This window comes from Homo sapiens, chromosome 1, assembly GCF_000001405.40.
Source record: "Homo sapiens chromosome 1, GRCh38.p14 Primary Assembly".
NCBI classification, from domain to species: Eukaryota; Metazoa; Chordata; class Mammalia; order Primates; family Hominidae; genus Homo; species Homo sapiens.
Genome location: NC_000001.11, coordinates 121,625,224 through 121,649,124, shown reverse-complemented (window position 1 = coordinate 121,649,124; position 23,901 = coordinate 121,625,224). Strand labels below are relative to the sequence as shown.

Below are 23,901 nucleotides of genomic sequence, written 5' to 3'. Positions count from 1 at the left end.
GTTGAACATCCCCCTTGATGGGTCCGTTTGGAAACACACTTTTGGTAGAATCTGAAAGGGGAGATTTGGACCGCTTTGAGGCCTATGGCAGTAGAGGATATAACTGCACATAAAAGCGAGACAGGAGCATTCCCAGGAAACGCTTTGTGACCATTGAGTTCAACTCACAGAGCTGAACATTCCTGTGGGTGGAGCAGTTTCCAAACACACTTTGTGTAGAATCTGCAAGTGGAGATTTGGACCGCTCTGAGGATTTCGTTGGATAGGGAGAAAAGTCACCTACGTAAACAGAAGCATTCTCAGAACCTTCTTCGTGATGCTTGCATTCAACTCACAGTGTTGAACTTTTCTCTGACAGTTCAGGTTTGAAACACTCCTTCTGCAGAATCTGCAAGTGGAGATTTGGACCTCTTTGAGGCCTATCGTAGTAAAGGAAAGAACTTCATCTAAAAACAAGACGGAAGCATTCTCAGAAAATTCTTTGCGATGATTGAGTTTAACTCACAGAGCTGAGCATATCTTTTGATGGCGCATTTTCCAAACACACCTTTTGTGGCATATGCAAGTGGATTTTTGGACTTCTCTGAGAATTTCGTTGGAAACGGGATAAACCTCACATAACTGAAGAGGAACATTCTCAGAAGTTCTTGGTGATGTTGGCATTCAACTGACAGAGTTGAACCTTCCCTTGTGAGTTCAGGTTGAAACGCTCTTTTCGTAGTATCTGCAAGTGGAGGTTTGGAACGCTTTGAGGCCTACAGTAGTAAAGGAAACAGCTTCATGTAAAAACTGGACAGAAGCATTCTCAGAAAATACTTTGGGATGATTGAGTTCAACTCACAGAGCTGAACATTCCTTTGGGTGGAGCAGTTTTGAAACACACTTTTTGTAGACTCTGCAGGTGGATATTTGGACCTCTCTGAGGATTTCGTTGGAAACGGGATAACGTCACCTAACTAAACAGAAGCTTTCGCAGAAACATCCTTCTGACGTTGGCATTCAAAGTCCAGAGTTGAGCCTTCCTTTGGTAGTTCACGTTTGAAACACTCTTTTTGGAGGACCTGCAAGTGGATATTGGGAGCACTTTGTGGCCTTCGTTCGAAACGGCCATATCTTCACATAAAATCTAGACAGAAGCATTCTCAGAAACTTCTCTGTGATGATTGCATGCAACTCACAGAGTTGAACATTCCTTTTGATGGAGCAGTTTTGAAACTCTCTTTTGCTAGCATCTGCAAATGGATAGGTGGAACTCTGTGAAGACTGCTTTGAAAACGGGAATATCCTCACGTAAAAAGTAAACAGAAGCATTCTCAGAAACTCCTTTGTGAGGCTTGTGTTCAACTCCCAGAGTATAACATTGCTTTTCATAGAGCAGTTTTGAAACATTCTTTTCGTAGAGCCTCCAAGTGGACATTTGGAGCGCTTTCAGGCCTGCGGTGGAAAAGGAAATATCTTCACATAAAAACTAGAGAGAAGCATTGTCAGAAACTTCTTGGTGATGATTGCATTCAACTCACGGAGCTGAGGATTCCTTTGGATGCAGCAGTTTGGAAACACTCTTTCGGTGGAATCTGCAAGCGGATATGTGGACCTCTTTGAACATTTCGATGGAAAAGGGATAATCTTCCCGTAAAAGCTAAACGGAAGCATGCTCAGGAACTTCCTTGTGATGTTTGCATTCAACTCACAGAGTTGTACTTTCCTTTTGATAGAGCAGCTTTGAAACCCCCTCTTTCTAGCATCTGCAAGGGGACATTTGGAGGGCTTCGAGGCCTGGGGTGGAAAAGGAAATATCTTCTCATCAAACCTACATGGAAGCATTCTCAGAAGCTGCTTTGTGATGATTGCATTCAAGTCACCGAGTTGAACATCCCCTTTGATGGGGCCGTTTGGAAACACACTTTTGGTAGAATCTGAAAGGGGAGATTTGGACCGCTTTGAGGCCTATGGCAGTAGAGGATATAACTGCACATAAAATCGAGACAGGAGCATTCCCAGGAAACGCTTTGTGACGATTGAGTTCAACTCACAGAGCTGAACATTCCTTTGGGTGAAGCAGTTTCCAAACACACTTTGTGTAGAATCTGCAAGTGGAGATTTGGACCGCTCTGAGGATTTCGTTGGATACGGGAGAAAAGTCACCTACGTAAACAGAAGCATTCTCAGAACCTTCTTCGTGATGCTTGCATTCAACTCACAGTGTTGAACCTTTCTCTGACAGTTCAGGTTTGAAACACTCCTTCTGCAGAATCTGCAAGTGGACATTTGGACCTCCTTGAGGCCTATCGTAGTAAAGGAAAGAACTTCATCTAAAAACAAGACGGAAGCATTCTCAGAAAATACTTTGCGATGATTGAGTTTAACTCACAGAGCTGAGCATATCTTTTGATGGCGCATTTTCAAAACACACCTTTTGTGGAATATGCAAGTGGATTTTGGGACTTCTCTGAGAATTTCGTTGGAAAGGGGATAAACCTCACGTAACTGAAGAGGAACATTCTCAGAAGTTCTTGGTGATGTTGGCATTCAACTGGCAGAGTTGAACCTTCCCTTGTGAGTTCAGGTTGAAACGCTCTTTTCGTAGTATCTGCAAGTGGAGGTTTGGAACGCTTTGAGGCCTACGGTAGTAAAGGAAACAGCTTCATGTAAAAACTGGACAGAAGCATTCTCAGAAAATACTTTGGGATGATTGAGTTCAACTCACAGAGCTGAACATTCCTTTGGGTGGAGCAGTTTTGAAACACACTTTTTGTAGACTCTGCAGGTGGATATTTGGACCTCTCTGAGGATTTCGTTGGAAACGGGATAACGTCACCTAACTAAACACAAGCTTTCGCAGAAACATCCTTCTGACGTTGGCATTCAAAGTCCAGAGTTGAGCCTTCCTTTGGTAGTTCACGTTTGAAACACTCTTTTTGGAGGACCTGCAAGTGGATATTGGGAGCGCTTTGTGGCCTTCGTTCGAAACGGCCATATCTTCACATAAAATCTAGACAGAAGCCTTCTCAGAAACTTCTCTGTGATGATTGCATGCAACTCACAGAGTTGAACATTCCTTTTGATGGAGCAGTTTTGAAACTGTCTTTTGCTAGCATCTGCAAATGGATAGGTGGAACTCTGTGAAGACTTCTTTGGAAACGGGAATATCCTCACGTAAAAAGTAAACAGAAGCATTCTCAGAAACTCCTTTGTGAGGCTTGTGTTCAACTCCCAGAGTATAACATTGCTTTTCATAGAGCAGTTTTGAAACATTCTTTTCGTAGAGCCTCCAAGTGGACATTTGGAGCGCTTTCAGGCCTGCGGTGGAAAAGGAAATATCTTCACATAAAAACTAGAGAGAAGCATTGTCAGAAACTTCTTGGTGATGATTGCATTCAACTCACGGAGCTGAGGATTCCTTTTGATGCAGCAGTTTGGAAACACTCTTTCGGTGGAATCTGCAAGCGGATATGTGGACCTCTTTGAACATTTCGATGGAAAAGGGATAATCTTCCCATAAAAGCTAAACGGAAGCATGCTCAGGAACTTCCTTGTGATGTTTGCATTCAACTCACAGAGTTGTACTTTCCTTTTGATAGAGCAGCTTTGAAACCCCCTCTTTCTAGCATCTGCAAGGGGACATTTGGAGGGCTTCGAGGCCTGGGTTGGAAAAGGAAATATCTTCTCATCAAAGCTACATGGAAGCATTCTCAGAAGCTGCTTTGTGATGATTGCATTCAAGTCACCGAGTTGAACATCCCCTTTGATGGGGCCGTTTTGAAACACACTTTTGGTAGAAACTGAAAGGGGAGATTTGGACCGCTTTGAGGCCTATGGCAGTAGATGATATAACTGCACATGAAAGCGAGACAGGAGCATTCCCAGGAAACGCTTTGTGACGATTCAGTTCAACTCACAGAGCTGAACATTCCTTTGGGTGGAGCAGTTTCCAAACTCACTTTGTGTAGAATCTGCAAGTGGAGATTTGGACTGCTCTGAGGATTTCGTTGGATACGGGAGAAAAGTCACCTACGTAAACAGAAGCATTCTCAGAACCTTCTTCGTGATGCTTGCATTCAACTCACAGTGTTGAAACTTTCTCTGACAGTTCAGGTTTGAAACACTCCTTCTGCAGAATCTGCAAGTGGAGATTTGGACCTCCTTGAGGCCTATCGTAGTAAAGGAAAGAACTTCATCTAAAAACAAGACGGAAGCATTCTCAGAAAATTCTTTGCGACGATTGAGTTTAACTCACAGAGCTGAGCATATCTTTTGAAGGCGCATTTTCAAAACACACCTTTGTGGAATATGCAAGTGGATTTTGGGACTTCTCTGAGAATTTCGTTGGAAACGGGATAAACCTCACATAACTGAAGAGGAACATTCTCAGAACTTCTTGGTGATGTTGGCATTCAACTGACAGAGTTGAACCTTCCCTTGTGAGTTCAGGTTGAAACGCTCTTTTCGTAGTATCTGCAAGTGGAGGTTTGGAACGCTTTGAGGCCTACGGTAGTAAAGGAAACAGCTTCATGTAAAAACTGGACAGAAGCATTCTCAGAAAATACTTTGTGTTGATTGAGTTTAACTCACAGAGCTGAACATTCCTTTGGGTGGAGCAGTTTGGAAACACACTTTTTGGAGAATCTGCAGGTGGATATTTGGACCTCTCTGAGGATTTCGTTGGAAACAGGATAACGTCACCTAACTAAACAATAGCTTCCGCATAAACATCCTTCTGACGTTGGCCTTCAAAGTCCCGAGTTGAGCCTTCCTTTGGTAGTTCACGTTTGAAACACTCTTTTTGGAGGACCTGCAAGTGGATATTTGGAGCACTTTGTGGCCTTCGTTCGAAACGGCTATATCTTCACATAAAATCTAGACAGAAGCCTTCTCAGAAACTTCTCTGTGATGATTGCATGCAACTCACAGAGTTGAACATTCCTTTTGATAGAGCAGTTTTGAAACTCTCTAGTTTTGCTGGCATCTGCAAATGGATAGGTGGAACTCTGTGAAGACTTCTTTGGAAACGGGAATATCCTCACGTAAAAAGTAAACAGAAGCATTCTCAGAAACTCCTTTGTGAGGCTTGTGTTCAACTCCCAGAGTATAACATTGCTTTTCATAGAGCAGTTTTGAAACATTCTTTTCGTAGAGCCTCCAAGTGGACATTTGGGGCGCTTTCAGGCCTGCGGTGGAAAAGGAAATATCTTCACATAAAAACTAGAGAGAAGCATTGTCAGAAACTTCTTGGTGATGATTGCATTCAACTCACGGAGCTGAGGATTCCTTTGGATGCAGCAGTTTGGAAACACTCTTTCGGTGGAATCTGCAAGCGGATATGTGGACCTCTTTGAACATTTCGATGGAAAAGGGATAATCTTCCCGTAAAAGCTAAACGGAAGCATGCTCAGGAACTTCCTTGTGATGTTTGCATTCAACTCACAGAGTTGTACTTTCCTTTTGATAGAGCAGCTTTGAAACCCCCTCTTTCTAGCATCTGCAAGGGGACATTTGGAGGGCTTCGAGGCCTGGCGTGGAAAAGGAAATATCTTCTCATCAAAGCTACATGGAAGCATTCTCAGAAGCTGCTTTGTGATGATTGCATTCAAGTCACCGAGTTGAATATCCCCTTTGATGGGGCCGTTTGGAAACACACCTTTGGTAGAATCTGAAAGGGGAGATTTCGACCGCTTTGAGGCCTATGGCAGTAGAGGATATAACTGCACATAAAAGCGAGACAGGAGCATTCCCAGGAAACGCTTTGTGACGATTGAGTTCAACTCACAGAGCTGAACATTCCTTTGGGTGGAGCAGTTTCCAAACACACTTTGTGTAGAATCTGCAAGTGGAGATTTGGACCGCTCTGAGGATTTCGTTGGATACGGGAGAAAACTCACCTACGTAAACAGAAGCATTCTCAGAACCTTCTTCGTGATGCTTGCATTCAACTCACAGTGTTGAACCTTTCTCTGACAGTTCAGGTTTGAAACACTCCTTCTGCAGAATCTGCAAGTGGAGATTTGGACCTCTTTGAGGCCTATCGTAGTAAAGGAAAGAACTTCATCTAAAAACAAGACAGAAGCATTCTCAGAAAATTCTTTGCGATGATTGAGTTTAACTCACAGAGCTGAGCATATCTTTTGATGGCGCATTTTCAAGACACACCTTTTGTAGAATATGCAAGTGGATTTTGGGACTTCTCTGAGAATTTCGTTGGAAACGGGATAAACCTCACATAACTGAAGAGGAACATTCTCAGAAGTTCTTGGTGACGTTGGCATTCAACTGACAGAGTTGAACCTTCCCTTGTGAGTTCAGGTTGAAACGCTCTTTTCGTAGTATCTGCAAGTGGAGGTTTGGAACGCTTTGAGGCCTACGGTAGTAAAGGAAACAGCTTCATGTAAAAACTGGACAGAAGCCTTCTCAGAAAATACTTTGGGATGATTGAGTTCAACTCACAGAGCTGAACCTTCCTTTGGGTGGAGCAGTTTTGAAACACACTTTTTGTAGACTCTGCAGGTGGATATTTGGACCTCTCTGAGGATTTCGTTGGAAACGGGATAACGTCACCTAACTAAACAGAAGCTTCCGCAGAAACATCCTTCTGACGTTGGCCTTCAAAGTCCCGAGTTGAGCCTTCCTTTGGTAGTTCACGTTTGAAACACTCTTTTTGGAGGACCTGCAAGTGGATATTTGGAGCACTTTGTGGCCTTCATTCGAAACGGCTATATCTTCACATAAAATCTAGACAGAAGCCTTCTCAGAAACTTCTCTGTGATGATTGCACGCAACTCACAGAGGTGAACATTCCTTTTGATAGAGCTGTTTTGAAACTCTCTAGTTTTGCTGGCATCTGCAAATGGATAGGTGGAACTCTGTGAAGACTTCTTTGGAAACGGGAATATCCTCACGTAAAAAGTAAACAGAAGCATTCTCAGAAACTCCTTTGTGAGGCTTGTGTTCAACTCCCAGAGTATAACTTGGCTCTTCATACAGCAGTTTTGAAACATTCTTTTCGTAGAGCCTCCAAGTGGACATTTGGAGCGCTTTCAGGCCTGCGGTGGAAAAGCAAATATCTTCACATAAAAACTAGAGAGAAGCATTGTCAGAAACTTCTTGGTGATGATTGCATTCAACTCACGGAGCTGAGGATTCCTTTTGATGCAGCAGTTTGGAAACACTCTTTCGGTGGAATCTGCAAGCGGATATGTGGACCTCTTTGAACATTTCGATGGAAAAGGGATAATCTTCCCGTAAAAGCTAAACGGAAGCATGCTCAGGAACTTCCTTGTGATGTTTGCATTCAACTCACAGAGTTGTACTTTCCTTCTGATAGAGCAGCTTTGAAACCCCCTCTTTCTAGCATCTGCAAGGGGACATTTGGAGGGCTTCGAGGCCTGGGGTGGAAAAGGAAATATCTTCTCATCAAAGCTACATGGAAGCATTCTCAGAAGCTGCTTTGTGATGATTGCTTTCAAGTCACCGAGTTGAACATTCCCTTTGATGGAGCCGTTTGGAAACACACTTCTGGTAGAATCTGAAAGGGGATATTTGGACCGCTTTGAGGCCTATGGCAGCAGAGGATATAACTGCACATAAAAGCGAAACAGGAGCATTCCCAGGAAACACTTTGTGACGATTGAGTTCAACTCACAGAGCTGAATATTCCTTTGGTTGGAGCAGTTTCCAAACACACTTTGTGTAGAATCTGCAAGTGGAGATTTGGACCGCTCTGAGGATTTCGCTGGATACGGGAGAAAACTCACCTACGTAAACAGAGGCATTCTCAGAACCTTCTTCGTGATGCTTGAATTCAATTCACAGTGTTGAACCTTTCTCTGACAGTTCAGGTTTGAAACACTCCTTCTGCAGAATCTGCAAGTGGAGATTTGGACCTCTTTGAGGCCTATCGTAGTAAAGGAAAGAACTTCATCTGAAAACAAGACAGAAGCATTCTCAGAAAATTCTTTGCGATGATTGAGTTTAACTCACAGAGCTGAGCATATCTTTTGATGGCGCATTTTCAAGACAAACCTTTTGTAGAATATGCAAGTGGATTTTGGGACTTCTCTGAGAATTTCGTTGGAAACGGGATAAACCTCACATAACTGAAGAGGAACATTCTCAGAAGTTCTTGGTGACGTTGGCATTCAACTGACAGAGTTGAACCTTCCCTTGTGAGTTCAGGTAGAAACGCTCTTTTCGTAGTATCTGCAAGTGGAGGTTTGGAACGCTTTGAGGCCTACGGTAGTAAAGGAAACAGCTTCATGTAAAAACTGGACAGAAGCCTTCTCAGAAAATACTTTGGGATGATTGAGTTCAACTCACAGAGCTGAACCTTCCTTTGGGTGGAGCAGTTTTGAAACACACTTTTTGTAGACTCTGCAGGTGGATATTTGGACCTCTCTGAGGATTTCGTTGAAAACGGGATAACGTCACCTAACTAAACAGAAGCTTCCGCAGAAACATCCTTCTGACGTTGGCCTTCAAAGTCCCGAGTTGAGCCTTCCTTTGGTAGTTCACGTTTGAAACACTCTTTTTGGAGGACCTGCAAGTGGATATTTGGAGCACTTTGTGGCCTTCGTTCGAAACGGCTATATCTTCACATAAAATCTAGACAGAAGACTTCTCAGAAACTTCTCTGTGATGATTGCACGCAACTCACAGAGTTGAACATTCCTTTTGATAGAGCAGTTTTGAAACTCTCTACTTTTGCTGGCATCTGCAAATGGATAGGTGGAACTCTGTGAAAACTTCTTTGGAAACGGGAATATCCTCACGTAAAAAGTAAACAGAAGCATTCTCAGAAACTCCTTTGTGAGGCTTGTGTTCAACTCCCAGAGTATAACATTGCTTCTCATAGAGCAGTTTTGAAACATTCTTTTCGGAGTGCCTCCAAGTGGACATTTGGGTCACTTTCAGGCCTGCGTTGGAAAAGGAAATATCTTCACATAAAAACTAGAGAGAAGCATTGTCAGAAACTTCTTGGTGATGATTGCATTCAACTCACGGAGCTGAGGATTCCTTTGGATGCAGCAGTTTGGAAACACTCTTTCGGTGGAATCTGCAAGCGGATATGTGGACCTCTTTGACCATTTCGATGGAAAAGGGATAATCTTCCCGTAAAAGCTAAACGGAAGCATGCTCAGGAACTTCCTTGTGATGTTTGCATTCAACTCACAGAGTTGTACTTTCCTTTTGATAGAGCAGCTTTGAAACCCCCTCTTTCTAGCATCTGCAAGGGGACATTTGGAGGGCTTCGAGGCCTGGGGTGGAAAAGGAAATATCTTCTCATCAAAGCTACATGGAAGCATTCTCAGAAGCTGCTTTGTGATGATTGCTTTCAAGTCACCGAGTTGAACATCTCCTTTGATGGGGCCGTTAGGAAACACACTTTTGGTAGAATCTGAAAGGGGAGATTTCGACCGCTTTGAGGCCTATGGCAGTAGAGGATATAACTGCACATAAAAGCGAGACAGGAGCATTCCCAGGAAACGCTTTGTGACGATTGAGTTCAACTCACAGAACTGAACATTCCTTTGGGTGGAGCAGTTTCCAAACACACTTTGCGTAGAATCTGCAAGTGGAGATTTGGACCGCTCTGAGGATTTCGCTGGATACGGGAGAAAAGTCTCCTACGTAAACAGAAGCATTCTCAGAACCTTCTTCGTGATGCTTGCATTCAACTCACAGTGTTGAACCTTTCTCTGACAGTTCAGGTTTGAAACACTCCTTCTGCAGAATCTGCCAGTGGAGATTTGGACCTCTTTGAGGCCTGTCGTAGTAAAGGAAAGAACTTCATCTAAAAACAAGACGGAAGCATTCTCAGAAAATTCTTTGCGATGATTGAGTTTAACTCACAGAGCTGAGCATATCTTTTGATGGCGCATTTTACAAACACACCTTTTGTGGAATATGCAAGTGGATTTAGGGACTTCTCTGAGAATTTCGTGGGAAACGGGATAAACCTCACATAACTGAAGAGGAACATTCTCAGAAGTTCTTGGTAACGTTGGCATTCAACTGACAGAGTTGAACCTTCCCTTGTGAGTTCAGGTTGAAACGCTCTTTTCGTAGTATCTGCAAGTGGAGGTTTGGAACGCTTTGAGGCCTACGGTAGTAAAGGAAACAGCTTCATGTAAAAACTGGACAGAAGCCTTCTCAGAAAATACTTTGGGATGATTGAGTTCAACTCACAGATCTGAACCTTCCTTTGGGTGGAGCAGTTTTGAAACACACTTTTTGTAGACTCTGCAGGTGGATATTTGGACCTCTCTGAGGATTTCGTTGGAAACGGGATAACGTCACCTAACTAAACAGAAGCTTCCGCAGAAACATCCTTCTGACGTTGGCCTTCAAAGTCCCGAGTTGAGCCTTCCTTTGGTAGTTCACGTTTGAAACACTCTTTTTGGAGGACCTGCAAGTGGATATTTGGAGCACTTTGTGGCCTTCGTTCGAAACGGCTATATCTTCACATAAAATCTAGACAGAAGCCTTCTCAGAAACTTCTCTGTGATGATTGCATGCAACTCACAGAGTTGAACATTCCTTTTGATAGAGCAGTTTTGAAACTCTCTAGTTTTGCTGGCATCTGCAAATGGATAGGTGGAACTCTGTGAAGACTTCTTTGGAAACGGGAATATCCCCACGTAAAAAGTAAACAGAAGCATTCTCAGAAACTCCTTTGTGAGGCTTGTGTTCAACTCCCAGAGTATAACATTGCTCTTCATAGAGCAGTTTTGAAACATTCTTTTCGTAGAGCCTCCAAGTGGACATTTGGAGCGCTTTCAGGCCTGCGGTGGAAAAGGAAATATCTTCACATAAAAACTAGAGAGAAGCATTGTCAGAAACTTCTTGGTGATGATTGCATTCAACTCACGGAGCTGAGGATTCCTTTTGATGCAGCAGTTTGGAAACACTCTTTCGGTGGAATCTGCAAGCGTATATGTGGACCTCTTTGACCATTTCGATGGAAAAGGGATAATCTTCCCCTAAAAGCTAAACGGAAGCATGCTCAGGAACTTCCTTGTGATGTTTGCATTCAACTCACAGAGTTGTACTTTCCTTCTGATAGAGCAGCTTTGAAACCCCCTCTTTCTAGCATCTGCAAGGGGACATTTGGAGGGCTTCGAGGCCTGGGGTGGAAAAGGAAATATCTTCTCATCAAAGCTACATGGAAGCATTCTCAGAAGCTGCTTTGTGATGATTGCTTTCAAGTCACCGAGTTGAACATTCCCTTTGATGGAGCCGTTTGGAAACACACTTCTGGTAGAATCTGAAAGGGGATATTTGGACCGCTTTGAGGCCTATGGCAGCAGAGGATATAACTGCACATAAAAGCGAAACAGGAGCATTCCCAGGAAACACTTTGTGACGATTGAGTTCAACTCACAGAGCTGAACATTCCTTTGGTTGGAGCAGTTTCCAAACACACTTTGTGTAGAATCTGCAAGTGGAGATTTGGACCGCTCTGAGGATTTCCCTGGATACGGGAGAAAACTCACGTACGTAAACAGAGGCATTCTCAGAACCTTCTTCGTGATGCTTGCATTCAATTCACAGTGTTGAACCTTTCTCTGACAGTTCAGGTTTGAAACACTCCTTCTGCAGAATCTGCAAGTGGAGATTTGGACCTCTTTGAGGCCTATCGTAGTAAAGGAAAGAACTTCATCTGAAAACAAGACAGAAGCATTCTCAGACAATTCTTTGCGATGATTGAGTTTAACTCACAGAGCTGAGCATATCTTTTGATGGCGCATTTTCAAGACACACCTTTTGTAGAATATGCAAGTGGATTTTGGGACTTCTCTGAGAATTTCGTTGGAAACGGGATAAACCTCACATAACTGAAGAGGAACATTCTCAGAACTTCTTTGTGATGTTGGCATTCAACTGACAGAGTTGAACCTTCCCTTGTGAGTTCAGGTTGAAACGCTCTTTTCGTAGTATCTGCAAGTGGAGGTTTGGAACGCTTTGAGGCCTACGGTAGTAAAGGAAACAGCTTCATGTAAAAACTGGACAGAAGCCTTCTCAGAAAATACTTTGGGATGATTGAGTTCAACTCACAGAGCTGAACCTTCCTTTGGGTGGAGCAGTTTTGAAACACACTTTTTGTAGACTCTGCAGGTGGATATTTGGACCTCTCTGAGGATTTCGTTGGAAACGGGATAACGTCACCTAACTAAACAGAAGCTTCCGCAGAAACATCCTTCTGACGTTGGCCTTCAAAGTCCCGAGTTGAGCCTTCCTTTGGTAGTTCACGTTTGAAACACTCTTTTTGGAGGACCTGCAAGTGGATATTTGGAGCACTTTGTGGCCTTCGTTCGAAACGGCTATATCTTCACATAAAATGTAGACAGAAGCATTCTCAGAAACTTCTCTGTGATGATTGCATGCATCTCACAGAGTTGAACATTCCTTTTGATAGAGCAGTTTTGAAACTCTCTAGTTTTGCTGGCATCTGCAAATGGATAGGTGGAACTCTGTGAAAACTTCTTTGGAAACGGGAATATCCTCACGTAAAAAGTAAACAGAAGCATTCTCAGAAACTCCTTTGTGAGGCTTGTGTTCAACTCCCAGAGTATAACATTGCTTTTCATAGAGCAGTTTTAAAACGTTCTTTTCGTAGAGCCTCCAAGTGGACATTTGGGGCGCTTTCAGGCCTGCGGTGGAAAAGGAAATATCTTCACATAAAAACTAGTGAGAAGCATTGTCAGAAACTTCTTGGTGATGATTGCATTCAACTCACGGAGCTGAGGATTCCTTTTGATGCAGCAGTTTGGAAACACTCTTTCGGTGGAATCTGCAAGCGGATATGTGGACCTCTTTGAACATTTCGATGGAAAAGGGATAATCTTCCCGTAAAAGCTAAACGGAAGCATGCTCAGGAACTTCCTTGTGATGTTTGCATTCAACTCGCAGAGTTGTACTTTCCTTTTGATAGAGCAGCTTTGAAACCCCCTCTTTCTAGCATCTGCAAGGGGACATTTGGAGGGCTTCGAGGCCTGGGGTGGAAAAGGAAATATCTTCTCATCAAAGCTACATGGAAGCATTCTCAGAAGCTGCTTTGTGATGATTGCATTCAAGTCACCGAGTTGAACATCCCCTTTGATGGGGCCGTTTGGAAACACACTTTTGGTAGAATCTGAAAGGGGAGATATCGACCGCTTTGAGGCCTATGGCAGTAGAGGATATAACTGCACATAAAAGCGAGACAGGAGCATTCCCAGGAAACGCTTTGTGACGATTGAGTTCAACTCACAGAGCTGAACATTCCTTTGGGTGGAGCAGTTTCCAAACACACTTTGTGTAGAATCTGCAAGTGGAGATTTGGACCGCTCTGAGGATTTCGCTGGATACGGGAGAAAAGTCACCTACGTAAACAGAAGCATTCTCAGAACCTTCTTCGTGATGCTTGCATTCAACTCACAGTGTTGAACCTTTCTCTGACAGTTCAGGTTTGAAACACTCCTTCTGCAGAATCTGCCAGTGGAGATTTGGACCTCTTTGAGGCCTGTCGTAGTAAAGGAAAGAACTTCCTCTAAAAACAAGACGGAAGCATTCTCAGAAAATTCTTTGCGATGATTGAGTTTAACTCACAGAGCTGAGCATATCTTTTGATGGCGCATTTTCCAAACACACCTTTTGTGGAATATGCAAGTGGATTTAGGGACTTCTCTGAGAATTTCGTGGGAAACGGGATAAACCTCACATAACTGAAGAGGAACATTCTCAGAACTTCTTGGTGATGTTGGCATTCAACTGACAGAGTTGAACCTTCCCTTGTGAGTTCAGGTTGAAACGCTCTTTTCGTAGTATCTGCAAGTGGAGGTTTGGAACGCTTTGAGGCCTACGGTAGTAAAGGAAACAGCTTCATGTAAAAACTGGACAGAAGCATTCTCAGAAAATACTTTGGGATGATTGAGTTCAACTCACAGAGCTGAACATTCCTTTGGGTGGAGCAGTTTTGAAACACACTTTTTGTAGACTCTGCAGGTGGATATTTGGACCTCTCTGAGGATTTCGTTGCAGAAGGGATAACGTCACCTAACTAAACAGAAGCTTCCGCAGAAACATCCTTCTGACGTTGGCCTTCAAAGTCCCGAGTTGAGCCTTCCTTTGGTAGTTCACGTTTGAAACACTCTTTTTGGAGGACCTGCAAGTGGATATTTGGAGCACATTGTGGCCTTCGTTCGAAACGGCTATATCTTCACATAAAATCTAGACAGAAGCCTTCTCAGAAACTTCTCTGTGACGATTGCACGCAACTCACAGAGTTGAACATTCCTTTTGATAGAGCAGTTTTGAAACTCTCTAGTTTTCCTGGCATCTGCAAATGGATAGGTGGAAATCTGTGAAGACTTCTTTGGAAACGGGAATATCCTCACGTAAAAAGTAAACAGAAGCATTCTCAGAAACTCCTTTGTGAGGCTTGTGTTCAACTCCCAGAGTATAACATTGCTTTTCATAGAGCAGTTTTGAAACATTCTTTTAGTAGAGCCTCCAAGTGGACATTTGGAGCGCTTTCAGGCCTGCGGTGGAAAAGGAAATATCTTCACATAAAAGCTAGAGAGAAGCATTGTCAGAAACTTCTTGGTGATGATTGCATTCAACTCACGGAGCTGAGGATTCCTTTTGATGCAGCAGTTTGGAAACACTCTTTCGGTGGAATCTGCAAGCGTATATGTGGACCTCTTTGACCATTTCGATGGAAAAGGGATAATCTTCCCGTAAAAGCTAAACGGAAGCATGCTCAGGAACTTCCTTGTGATGTTTGCATTCAACTCACAGAGTTGTACTTTCCTTCTGATAGAGCAGCTTTGAAACCCCCTCTTTCTAGCATCTGCAAGGGGACATTTGGAGGGCTTCGAGGCCTGGGGTGGAAAAGGAAATATCTTCTCATCAAAGCTACATGGAAGCATTCTCAGAAGCTGCTTCGGGATGATTGCATTCAAGTCACCGAGTTGAACATCCTCTTTGATGGGGCCGTTTGGAAACACACTTTTGGTAGAATCTGAAAGGGGAGATTTGGACCGCTTTGAGGCCTATGGCAGTAGAGGATATTACTGCACATAAAAGCGAGACAGGAGCATTCCCAGGAAACACTTTGTGACGATTGAGTTCAACTCACAGAGCTGAACATTCCTTTGGATGGAGCAGTTTCCAAACACACTTTGTGTAGAATCTGCAAGTGGAGATTTGGACCGCTCTGAGGATTTCGTTGGATACGGGAGAAAACTCACCTACGTAAACAGAAGCATTCTCAGAACCTTCTTCGTGATGCTTGCATTCAACTCACAGTGTTGAACCTTTCTCTGACAGTTCAGGTTTGAAACACTCCTTCTGCAGAATCTGCAAGTGGAGATTTGGACCTCTTTGAGGCCTATCGTAGTAAAGGAAAGAACTTCATCTAAAAACAAGACAGAAGCATTCTCAGAAAATACTTTGCGATGATTGAGTTTAACTCACAGAGCTGAGCATATCTTTTGATGGCGCATTTTCAAGACAAACCTTTTGTAGAATATGCAAGTGGATTTTGGGACTTCTCTGAGAATTTCGTTGGAAACGGGATAAACCTCACATAACTGAAGAGGAACATTCTCAGAACTTCTTGGTGACGTTGGCATTCAACTGACAGAGTTGAACCTTCCCTTGTGAGTTCAGGTTGAAACGCTCTTTTCGTAGTATCTGCAAGTGGAGGTTTGGAACGCTTTGAGGCCTACGGTAGTAAAGGAAACAGCTTCATGTAAAAACTGGACAGAAGCCTTCTCAGAAAATACTTTGGGATGATTGAGTTCAACTCACAGAGCTGAACCTTCCTTTGGGTGGAGCAGTTTTGAAACACACTTTTTGTAGACTCTGCAGGTGGATATTTGGACCTCTCTGAGGATTTCGTTGGAAACGGGATAACGTCACCTAACTAAACAGAAGCTTCCGCAGAAACATCCTTCTGACGTTGGCCTTCAAAGTCCCGAGTTGAGCCTTCCTTTGGTAGTTCACGTTTGAAACACTCTTTTTGGAGGACCTGCAAGTGGATATTTGGAGCACTTTGGGGCCTTCGTTCGAAATGGCTATATCTTCACATAAAATCTAGACAGAAGCCTTCTCAGAAACTTCTCTGTGATGATTGCATGCAACTCACAGAGTTGAACATTCCTTTTGATGGAGCAGTTTTGAAACTCTCTTTTGCTAGCATCTGCAAATGGATAGGTGGAACTCTGTGAAGACTTCTTTGGAAACGGGAATATCCTCACGTAAAAAGTAAACACAAGCATTCTCAGAAACTCCTTTGTGAGGCTTGTGTTCAACTCCCAGAGTATAACATTGCTCCTCATAGAGCAGTTTTGAAACATTCTTTTCGTAGAGCCTCCAAGTGGACATTTGGAGCGCTTTCAGGCCTGCGGTGGAAAAGGAAATATCTTCACATAAAAACTAGAGAGAAGCATTGTCAGAAACTTCTTGGTGATGATTGCATTCAACTCACGGAGCTGAGGATTCCCTTTAATGCAGCAGTTTGCAAACACTCTTTCGGTGGAATCTGCAAGCGGATATGTGGACCTCTTTGACCATTTCGATGGAAAAGGGATAATCTTCCCGTAAAAGCTAAACGGAAGCATGCTCAGGAACTTCCTTGTGATGTTTGCATTCAACTCACAGAGTTGTACTTTCCTTCTGATAGAGCAGCTTTGAAACCCCCTCTTTCTAGCATCTGCAAGGGGACATTTGGAGGGCTTCGAGGCCTGGGGTGGAAAAGGAAATATCTTCTCATCAAAGCTACATGGAAGCATTCTCAGAAGCTGCTTTGTGATGATTGCATTCAAGTCACAGAGTTGAACATTCCTTTTGATGGAGCCGTTTGGAAACACACTTCTGGTAGAATCTGAAAGGGGAGATTTGGACCGCTTTGGGGCCTATGGCAGTAGAGGATATAACTGCACATAAAAGCGAAACAGGAGCATTCCCAGGAAACACTTTGTGACGATTGAGTTCAACTCACAGAGCTGAACATTCCTTTGGATGGAGCAGTTTCCAAACACACTTTTTGTAGAATCTGCAAGTGGAGATTTGGACCGCTCTGAGGATTTCGTTGGATACGGGAGAAAACTCACCTACATAAACAGAAGCATTCTCAGAACCTTCTTCGTGATGCTTGCATTCAACTCACAGTGTTGAACCTTTCTCTGACAGTTCAGGTTTGAAACACTCCTTCTGCAGAATCTGCAAGTGGAGATTTAGACCTCTTTGAGGCCTATCGTAGTAAAGGAAAGAACTTCATCTAAAAACAAGACAGAAGCATTCTCAGAAAATTCTTTGCGATGATTGAGTTTAACTCACAGAGCGGAGCATATATTTTGATGGCGCATTTTCAAGACACACCTTTTGTAGAATATGCAAGTGGATTTTGGGACTTCTCTGAGAATTTCGTTGGAAACGGGATAAACCTCACATAACTGAAGAGGAACATTCTCAGAAGTTCTTGGTGACGTTGGCATTCAACTGACAGAGTTGAACCTTCCCTTCTGAGTTCAGGTTGAAACGCTCTTTTCGTAGTATCTGCAAGTGGAGGTTTGCAACGCTTTGAGGCCTACGGTAGTAAAGGAAACAGCTTCATGTAAAAACTGGACAGAAGCCTTCTCAGAAAATACTTTGGGATGATTGAGTTCAACTCACAGAGCTGAACCTTCCTTTGGGTGGAGCAGTTTTGAAACACACTTTTTGTAGACTCTGCAAGTGGATATTTGGACCTCTCTGAGGATTTCGTTGGAAACGGGATAACGTCACCTAACTAAACAGAAGCTTCCGCAGAAACATCCTTCTGACGTTGGCCTTCAAAGTCCCGAGTTGAGCCTTCCTTTGGTAGTTCACGTTTGAAACACTCTTTTTGGAGGACCTGCAAGTGGATATTTGGAGCACTTTGTGGCCTTCGTTCGAAACGGCTATATCTTCACATAAAATCTAGACAGAAGCCTTCTCAGAAACTTCTCTGTGATGATTGCACGCAACTCACAGAGTTGAACATTCCTTTTGATAGAGCAGTTTTGAAACTCTCTAGTTTTGCTGGCATCTGCAAATGGATAGGTGGAACTCTGTGAAGACTTCTTTGGAGACGGGAATATCCTCACGTAAAAAGTAAACAGAAGCATTCTCAGAAACTCCTTTGTGAGACTTGTGTTCAACTCCCAGAGTATAACATTGCTCTTCATAGAGCAGTTTTGAAACATTCTTTTCGTAGAGCCTCCAAGTGGACATTTGGAGCGCTTTCAGGCCTTCGGTGGAAAAGGAAATATCTTCACATAAAAACTAGAGAGAAGCATTGTCAGAAACTTCTTGGTGATGATTGCATTCAACTCACGGAGCTGAGGATTCCTTTTGATGCAGCACTTTGGAAACACTCTTTCGGTGGAATCTGCAAGCGGATATGTGGACCTCTTTGAACATTTCTATGGAAAAGGGATAATCTTCCCGTAAAAGCTAAACGGAAGCATGCTCAGGAACTTCCTTGTGATGTTTGCATTCAACTCACAGCGTTGTACTTTCCTTTTGATAGAGCAGCTTTGAAACCCCCTCTTTCTAGCATCTGCAAGGGGACATTTGGAGGGCTTCGAGGCCTGGGGTGGAAAAGGAAATATCTTCTCATCAAAGCTACATGGAAGCATTCTCAGAAGCTGCTTTGGGATGATTGCATTCAAGTCACCGAGTTGAACATTCCCTTTGATGGAGCCGTTTGGAAACACACTTTTGGTAGGATCTGAAAGGGGAGATTTGGACCGCTTTGAGGCCTATGGCAGTAGAGGATATAACTGCACATAAAAGCGACACAGGAGCATTCCCAGGAAACACTTTGTGACGCTTGAGTTCAACTCACAGAGCTGAACATTCCTTTGGATGGAGCAGTTTCCAAACACACTTTGTGTAGAATCTGCAAGTGGAGATTTGGACCGCTCTGAGGATTTCGTTGGATACGGCAGAAAACTCAAGTACGTAAACAGAAGCATTCTCAGAACCTTCTTCGTGATGCTTGCATTCAACTCACAGTGTTGAACCTTTCTCTGACAGTTCAGGTTTGAAACACTCCTTCTGCAGAATCTGCAAGTGGAGATTTGGACCTCTTTGAGGCCTATCGTAGTAAAGGAAAGAACTTCATCTAAAAACAAGACAGAAGCATTCTCAGAAAATTCTTTGCGATGATTGAGTTTAACTCACAGAGCTGAGCATATCTTTTGATGGCGCATTTTCAAGACACACCTTTTTTAGAATATGCAAGTGGATTTTGGGACTTCTCTGAGAATTTCGTTGGAATCGGGATAAACCTCACATAACTGAAGAGGAACATTCTCAGAACTTCTTGGTGACGTTGGCATTCAACTGACAGAGTTGAACCTTCCCTTGTGAGTTCAGGTTGAAACGCTCTTTTCGTAGTATCTGCAAGTGGAGGTTTGGAACGCTTTGACGCCTACGGTAGTAAAGGAAACAGCTTCATGTAAAAACTGGACAGAAGCATTCTCAGAAAGTACTTTGGGATGATTGACTTCAACTCACAGAGCTGAACATTCCTTTGGATAGAGCAGTTTCCAAACACACTTTGTGTAGAATCTGCAAGTGGAGATTTGGACCGCTCTGAGGATTTCGTTGGATACGGGAGAAAACTCACCTACGTAAACAGAAGCATTCTCAGAACCTTCTTCGTGATGCTTGCATTCAACTCACAGTGTTGAATCTTTCTCTGACAGTTCTGGTTTGAAACACTCCTTCTGCAGAATCTGCAAGTGGAGATTTGGACCTCTTTGTTGCCTATCGTAGTAAAGGAAAGAACTTCATCTAAAAACAAGACAGAAGCATTCTCAGAAAATTATTTGTGATGATTGAGTTTAACACACAGACCTGAGCATATCTTTTGATGGCGCATTTTCCAAACACACCTTTTGTAGAATATGCAAGTGGATTTTGGGACTTCTCTGAGAATTTCGTTGGAATCGGGATAAACCTCCCATAACTGAAGAGGAACATTCTCAGAACTTCTTGGTGACGTTGGCATTCAACTGACAGAGTTGAACCTTCCCTTGTGAGTTCAGGTTGAAACGCTCTTTTCGTAGTATCTGCAAGTGGAGGTTTGGAACGCTTTGAGGCCTACGGTAGTAAAGGAAACAGCTTCATGTAAAAACTGGACAGAAGCCTTCTCAGAAAATACTTTGGGATGATTGAGTTCAACTCACAGAGCTGAACATTCCTTTGGGTGGAGCAGTTTTGAAACACACTTTTTGTAGACTCTGCAGGTGGATATTTGGACCTCTCTGAGGATTTCGTTGGAAACGGTATAACGTCACATAACTAAACAGAAGCTTTCGCAGAAACATCCTTCTGAAGTTGGCTTTCAAAGTCCCGAGTTGAGCCTTCCTTTGGTAGTTCACGTTTGAAACACTCTTTTTGGAGGACCTGCAAGTGGATATTTGGAGCACTTTGTGGCCTTCGTTCGAAACGACTATATCTTCACATAAAATCTAGACAGAAGCCTTCTCAGAAACTCCTCTGTGATGATTGCACGCAACTCACAGAGTTGAACATTCCTTTTGATAGAGCAGTTTTGAAACTCTCTAGTTTTGCTGGCATCTGCAAATGGATAGGTGGAACTCTGTGAAGATTTCTTTGGAAACGGGAATATCCTCACGTAAAAAGTAAACAGAAGCATTCTCAGAAACTCCTTTGTGAGGCTTGTGTTCAACTCCCAGAGTATAACATTTCTTTTCATAGAGCAGTTTTGAAACTTTCTTTTCGTAGAGCCTCCAAGTGGACATTTGGAGCGCTTTCAGGCCTGTGTTGGAAAAGAAAATATCTTCACATAAAAACTAGAGAGAAGCATGGTCAGAAACCTCTTGGTGATGATTGCATTCAACTCACGGAGCTGAGGATTCCTTTTGATGCAGCAGTTTGGAAACACTCTTTCGGTGGAATCTGCAAGCGGATATGTGGACCTCTTTGAACATTTCGATGGAAAAGGGATAATCTTCCCATAAAAGCTAAACGGAAGCATGCTCAGGAACTTCCTTGTGATGTTTGCATTCAACTCACAGAGTTGTACTTTCCTTTTGATAGAGCAGCTTTGAAACCCTCTCTTTCTAGCATCTGCAAGGGGACATTTGGAGGGCTTTGAGGCCTGGGGTGGAAAAGGAAATATCTTGTCATCAAAGCTACATGGAAGCATTCTCAGAAGCTGCTTTGTGATGATTGCATTCAAGTCACCGAGTTGAACATTCCCTTTGATGGAGCCGTTTGGAAACATACTTTTGGTAGGATCTGAAAGGGGAGATTTGGACCGCATTGAGGCCTATGGCAGTAGAGGATATAACTGCACATAAAAACGGGACAGGAGCATTCCCAGGAAACACTTTGTGACGATTGAGTACAACTCACAGAGCTGAACATTCCTTTGGATGGAGCAGTTTCCAAACACACTTTGTGTAGAATCTGCAAGTGGAGATTTGGACCGCTCTGAGGATTTCGTTGGATTTGGGAGAAAAGTCACCTACGTAAACAGAAGCATTCTCAGAACCTTCTTCGTGAAGCTTGCATTCAACTCACAGTGTTGAACCTTTCTCTGACAGTTCAGGTTTGAAACACTCCTGCAGAATCTGCAAGTGGAGATTTGGACCTCTTTGAGGCCTATCGTAGTAAAGGAAAGAACTTCATCTAAAAACAAGACAGAAGCATTCTCAGAAAATTCTTTGCGATGATTGAGTTTAACTCACAGAGCTGAGCATATCTTTTGATGGCGCATTTTCAAAACACACCTTTTGTAGAATATGCAAGTGGATTTTGGGACTTCTCTGAGAATTTCGTTGGAAACGGGATAAACCTCACATAACTGAAGAGGAACATTCTCAGAACTTCTTTGTGATGTTGGCATTCAACTGACAAAGTTGAACCTTCCCTTGTGAGTTCAGGTTGAAACGCTCTTTTCGTACTATCTGCAAGTGGAGATTTGGAACGCTTTGAGGCCTACGGTAGTAAAGGAAACAGCTTCATGTAAAAACTGGACAGAAGCATTCTCAGAAAATACTTTGGGATGATTGAGTTCAACTCACAGAGCTGAACATTCCTTTGGGTGGAGCAGTTTTGAAACACACTTTTTGTAGACTCTGCAGGTGGATATTTGGACCTCTCTGAGGATTTCGTTGGAAACGGGATAACGTCACCTAACTAAACAGAAGCTTTCGCAAAAACATCTTTCTGACGTTGGCATTCAAAGTCCAGAGTTGAGCCTTCCTTTGGTAGTTCACGTTTGAAACACTCTTTTTGGAGGACCTGCAAGTGGATATTTGGAGCACTTTGTGGCCTTCGTTCGAAACGGCTATATCTTCACATAAAATCTAGACAGAAGCCTTCTCAGAAACTTCTCTGTGATGATTGCATGCAACTCACAGAGTTGAACATTCCTTTTGATAGAGCAGTTTTGAAACTGTCTTTTGCTAGCATCTGCAAATGGATAGGTGGAACTCTGTGAAGACTTCTTTGGAAACGGGAATATCCTCACGTAAAAAGTAAACAGAAGCATTCTCAGAAACTCCTTTGTGAGGCTTGTGTTCAACTCCCAGAGTATAACATTGCTTTTCATAGAGCAGTTTTGAAACATTCTTTTCGTAGAGCGTCCAGGTGGACATTTGGAACGCTTTCAGGCCTGTGTTGGAAAAGGAAATATCTTCACATAAAAACTAGAGAGAAGCATTGTCAGAAACCTCTTGGTGATGATTGCATTCAACTCACGGAGCTGAGGATTCCTTTTGATGCAGCAGTTTGGAAACACTCTTTCGGTGGAATCTGCAAGCGGATATGTGGACCTCTTTGAACATTTTGATGGAAAAGGGATAATCTTCCCGTAAAAGCTAAACGGAAGCATGCTCAGGAACTTCCTTGTGATGTTTGCATTCAACTCACAGAGTTGTACTTTCCTTTTGATAGAGCAGCTTTGAAACCCTCTCTTTCTAGCATCTGCAAGGGGACATTTGGAGGGCTTCGAGGCCTGGGGTGGAAAAGGAAATATCTTCTCATCAAAGCTACATGGAAGCATTCTCAGAAGCTGCTTTGTGATGATTGCATTCAAGTCACCGAGGTCAACATTCCCTTTGATGGAGCCGTTTGGAAACACACTTTTGGTAGAAACTGAAAGGGGAGATTTGGACCGTTTTGGGGCCTATTGCAGTAGAGGATATAACTGCACATAAAAACGAGACAGGAGCATTCCCAGGAAACACTTTGTGACGATTGAGTTCAATTCACAGAGCTGAACATTCCTTTGGATGGAGCAGTTTCCAAACACACTTTGTGTAGAATCTGCAAGTGGAGATTTGGACCGCTCTGAGGATTTCGTTGGATACGGGAGAAAACTCACCTATGTAAACAGAAGCATTCTCAGAACCTTCTTCGTGATGCTTGCATTCAACTCACAGTGTTGAACCTTTCTCTGATAGTTCAGGTTTGAAACACTCCTTCTGCAGAATCTGCAAGTGGAGATTTGGACCTCTTTGAGGCCTATCGTAGTAAAGGAAAGAACTTCATCTAAAAACAAGACAGAAGCATTCTCAGAAAATTCTTTGTGATGATTGAGTTTAACTCACAGAGCTGAGCATATCTTTTGATGGATACGGGAGAAAACTCACCTGTATAAACAGAAGCATTCTCAGAACCTTCTTCGTGATGCTTGCATTCAACTCACAGTGTTCAAACTTTCTCTGATAGTTCAGGTTTTAAACACTCCTTCTGCAGAATCTGCAAGTGGAGATTTGGACCTCTTTGAGGCCTATCGTAGTAAAGGATGTAACCTCATCTAAAAACAAAACAGAAGCATTCTCAGAGAATTCTTTGTGACGATTGAGTTTAACATACAGAGCTGAGCATATCTTTTGATGGAGCATTTTCAAAACACAC

General features: G+C 43.0%; 3 annotated features.

Annotated features, from left to right (window-relative positions):
* Window positions 5,417-6,064: an enhancer, noted in NCBI's record as "OCT4-NANOG hESC enhancer chr1:121384859-121385506 (GRCh37/hg19 assembly coordinates)". NCBI's record gives its function as "activates a minimal SCP1, AML or CMV promoter by ChIP-STARR-seq in primed H9 embryonic stem cells {active_cell/tissue: H9 hESC(primed)}" and the evidence as "EXISTENCE:reporter gene assay evidence [ECO:0000049][PMID:30033119]".
* Window positions 8,620-9,377: an enhancer, noted in NCBI's record as "OCT4-NANOG hESC enhancer chr1:121381546-121382303 (GRCh37/hg19 assembly coordinates)". NCBI's record gives its function as "activates a minimal SCP1, AML or CMV promoter by ChIP-STARR-seq in primed H9 embryonic stem cells {active_cell/tissue: H9 hESC(primed)}" and the evidence as "EXISTENCE:reporter gene assay evidence [ECO:0000049][PMID:30033119]".
* Window positions 11,042-11,737: an enhancer, noted in NCBI's record as "OCT4-NANOG-H3K4me1 hESC enhancer chr1:121379186-121379881 (GRCh37/hg19 assembly coordinates)". NCBI's record gives its function as "activates a minimal SCP1, AML or CMV promoter by ChIP-STARR-seq in naive H9 embryonic stem cells {active_cell/tissue: H9 hESC(naive)}" and the evidence as "EXISTENCE:reporter gene assay evidence [ECO:0000049][PMID:30033119]".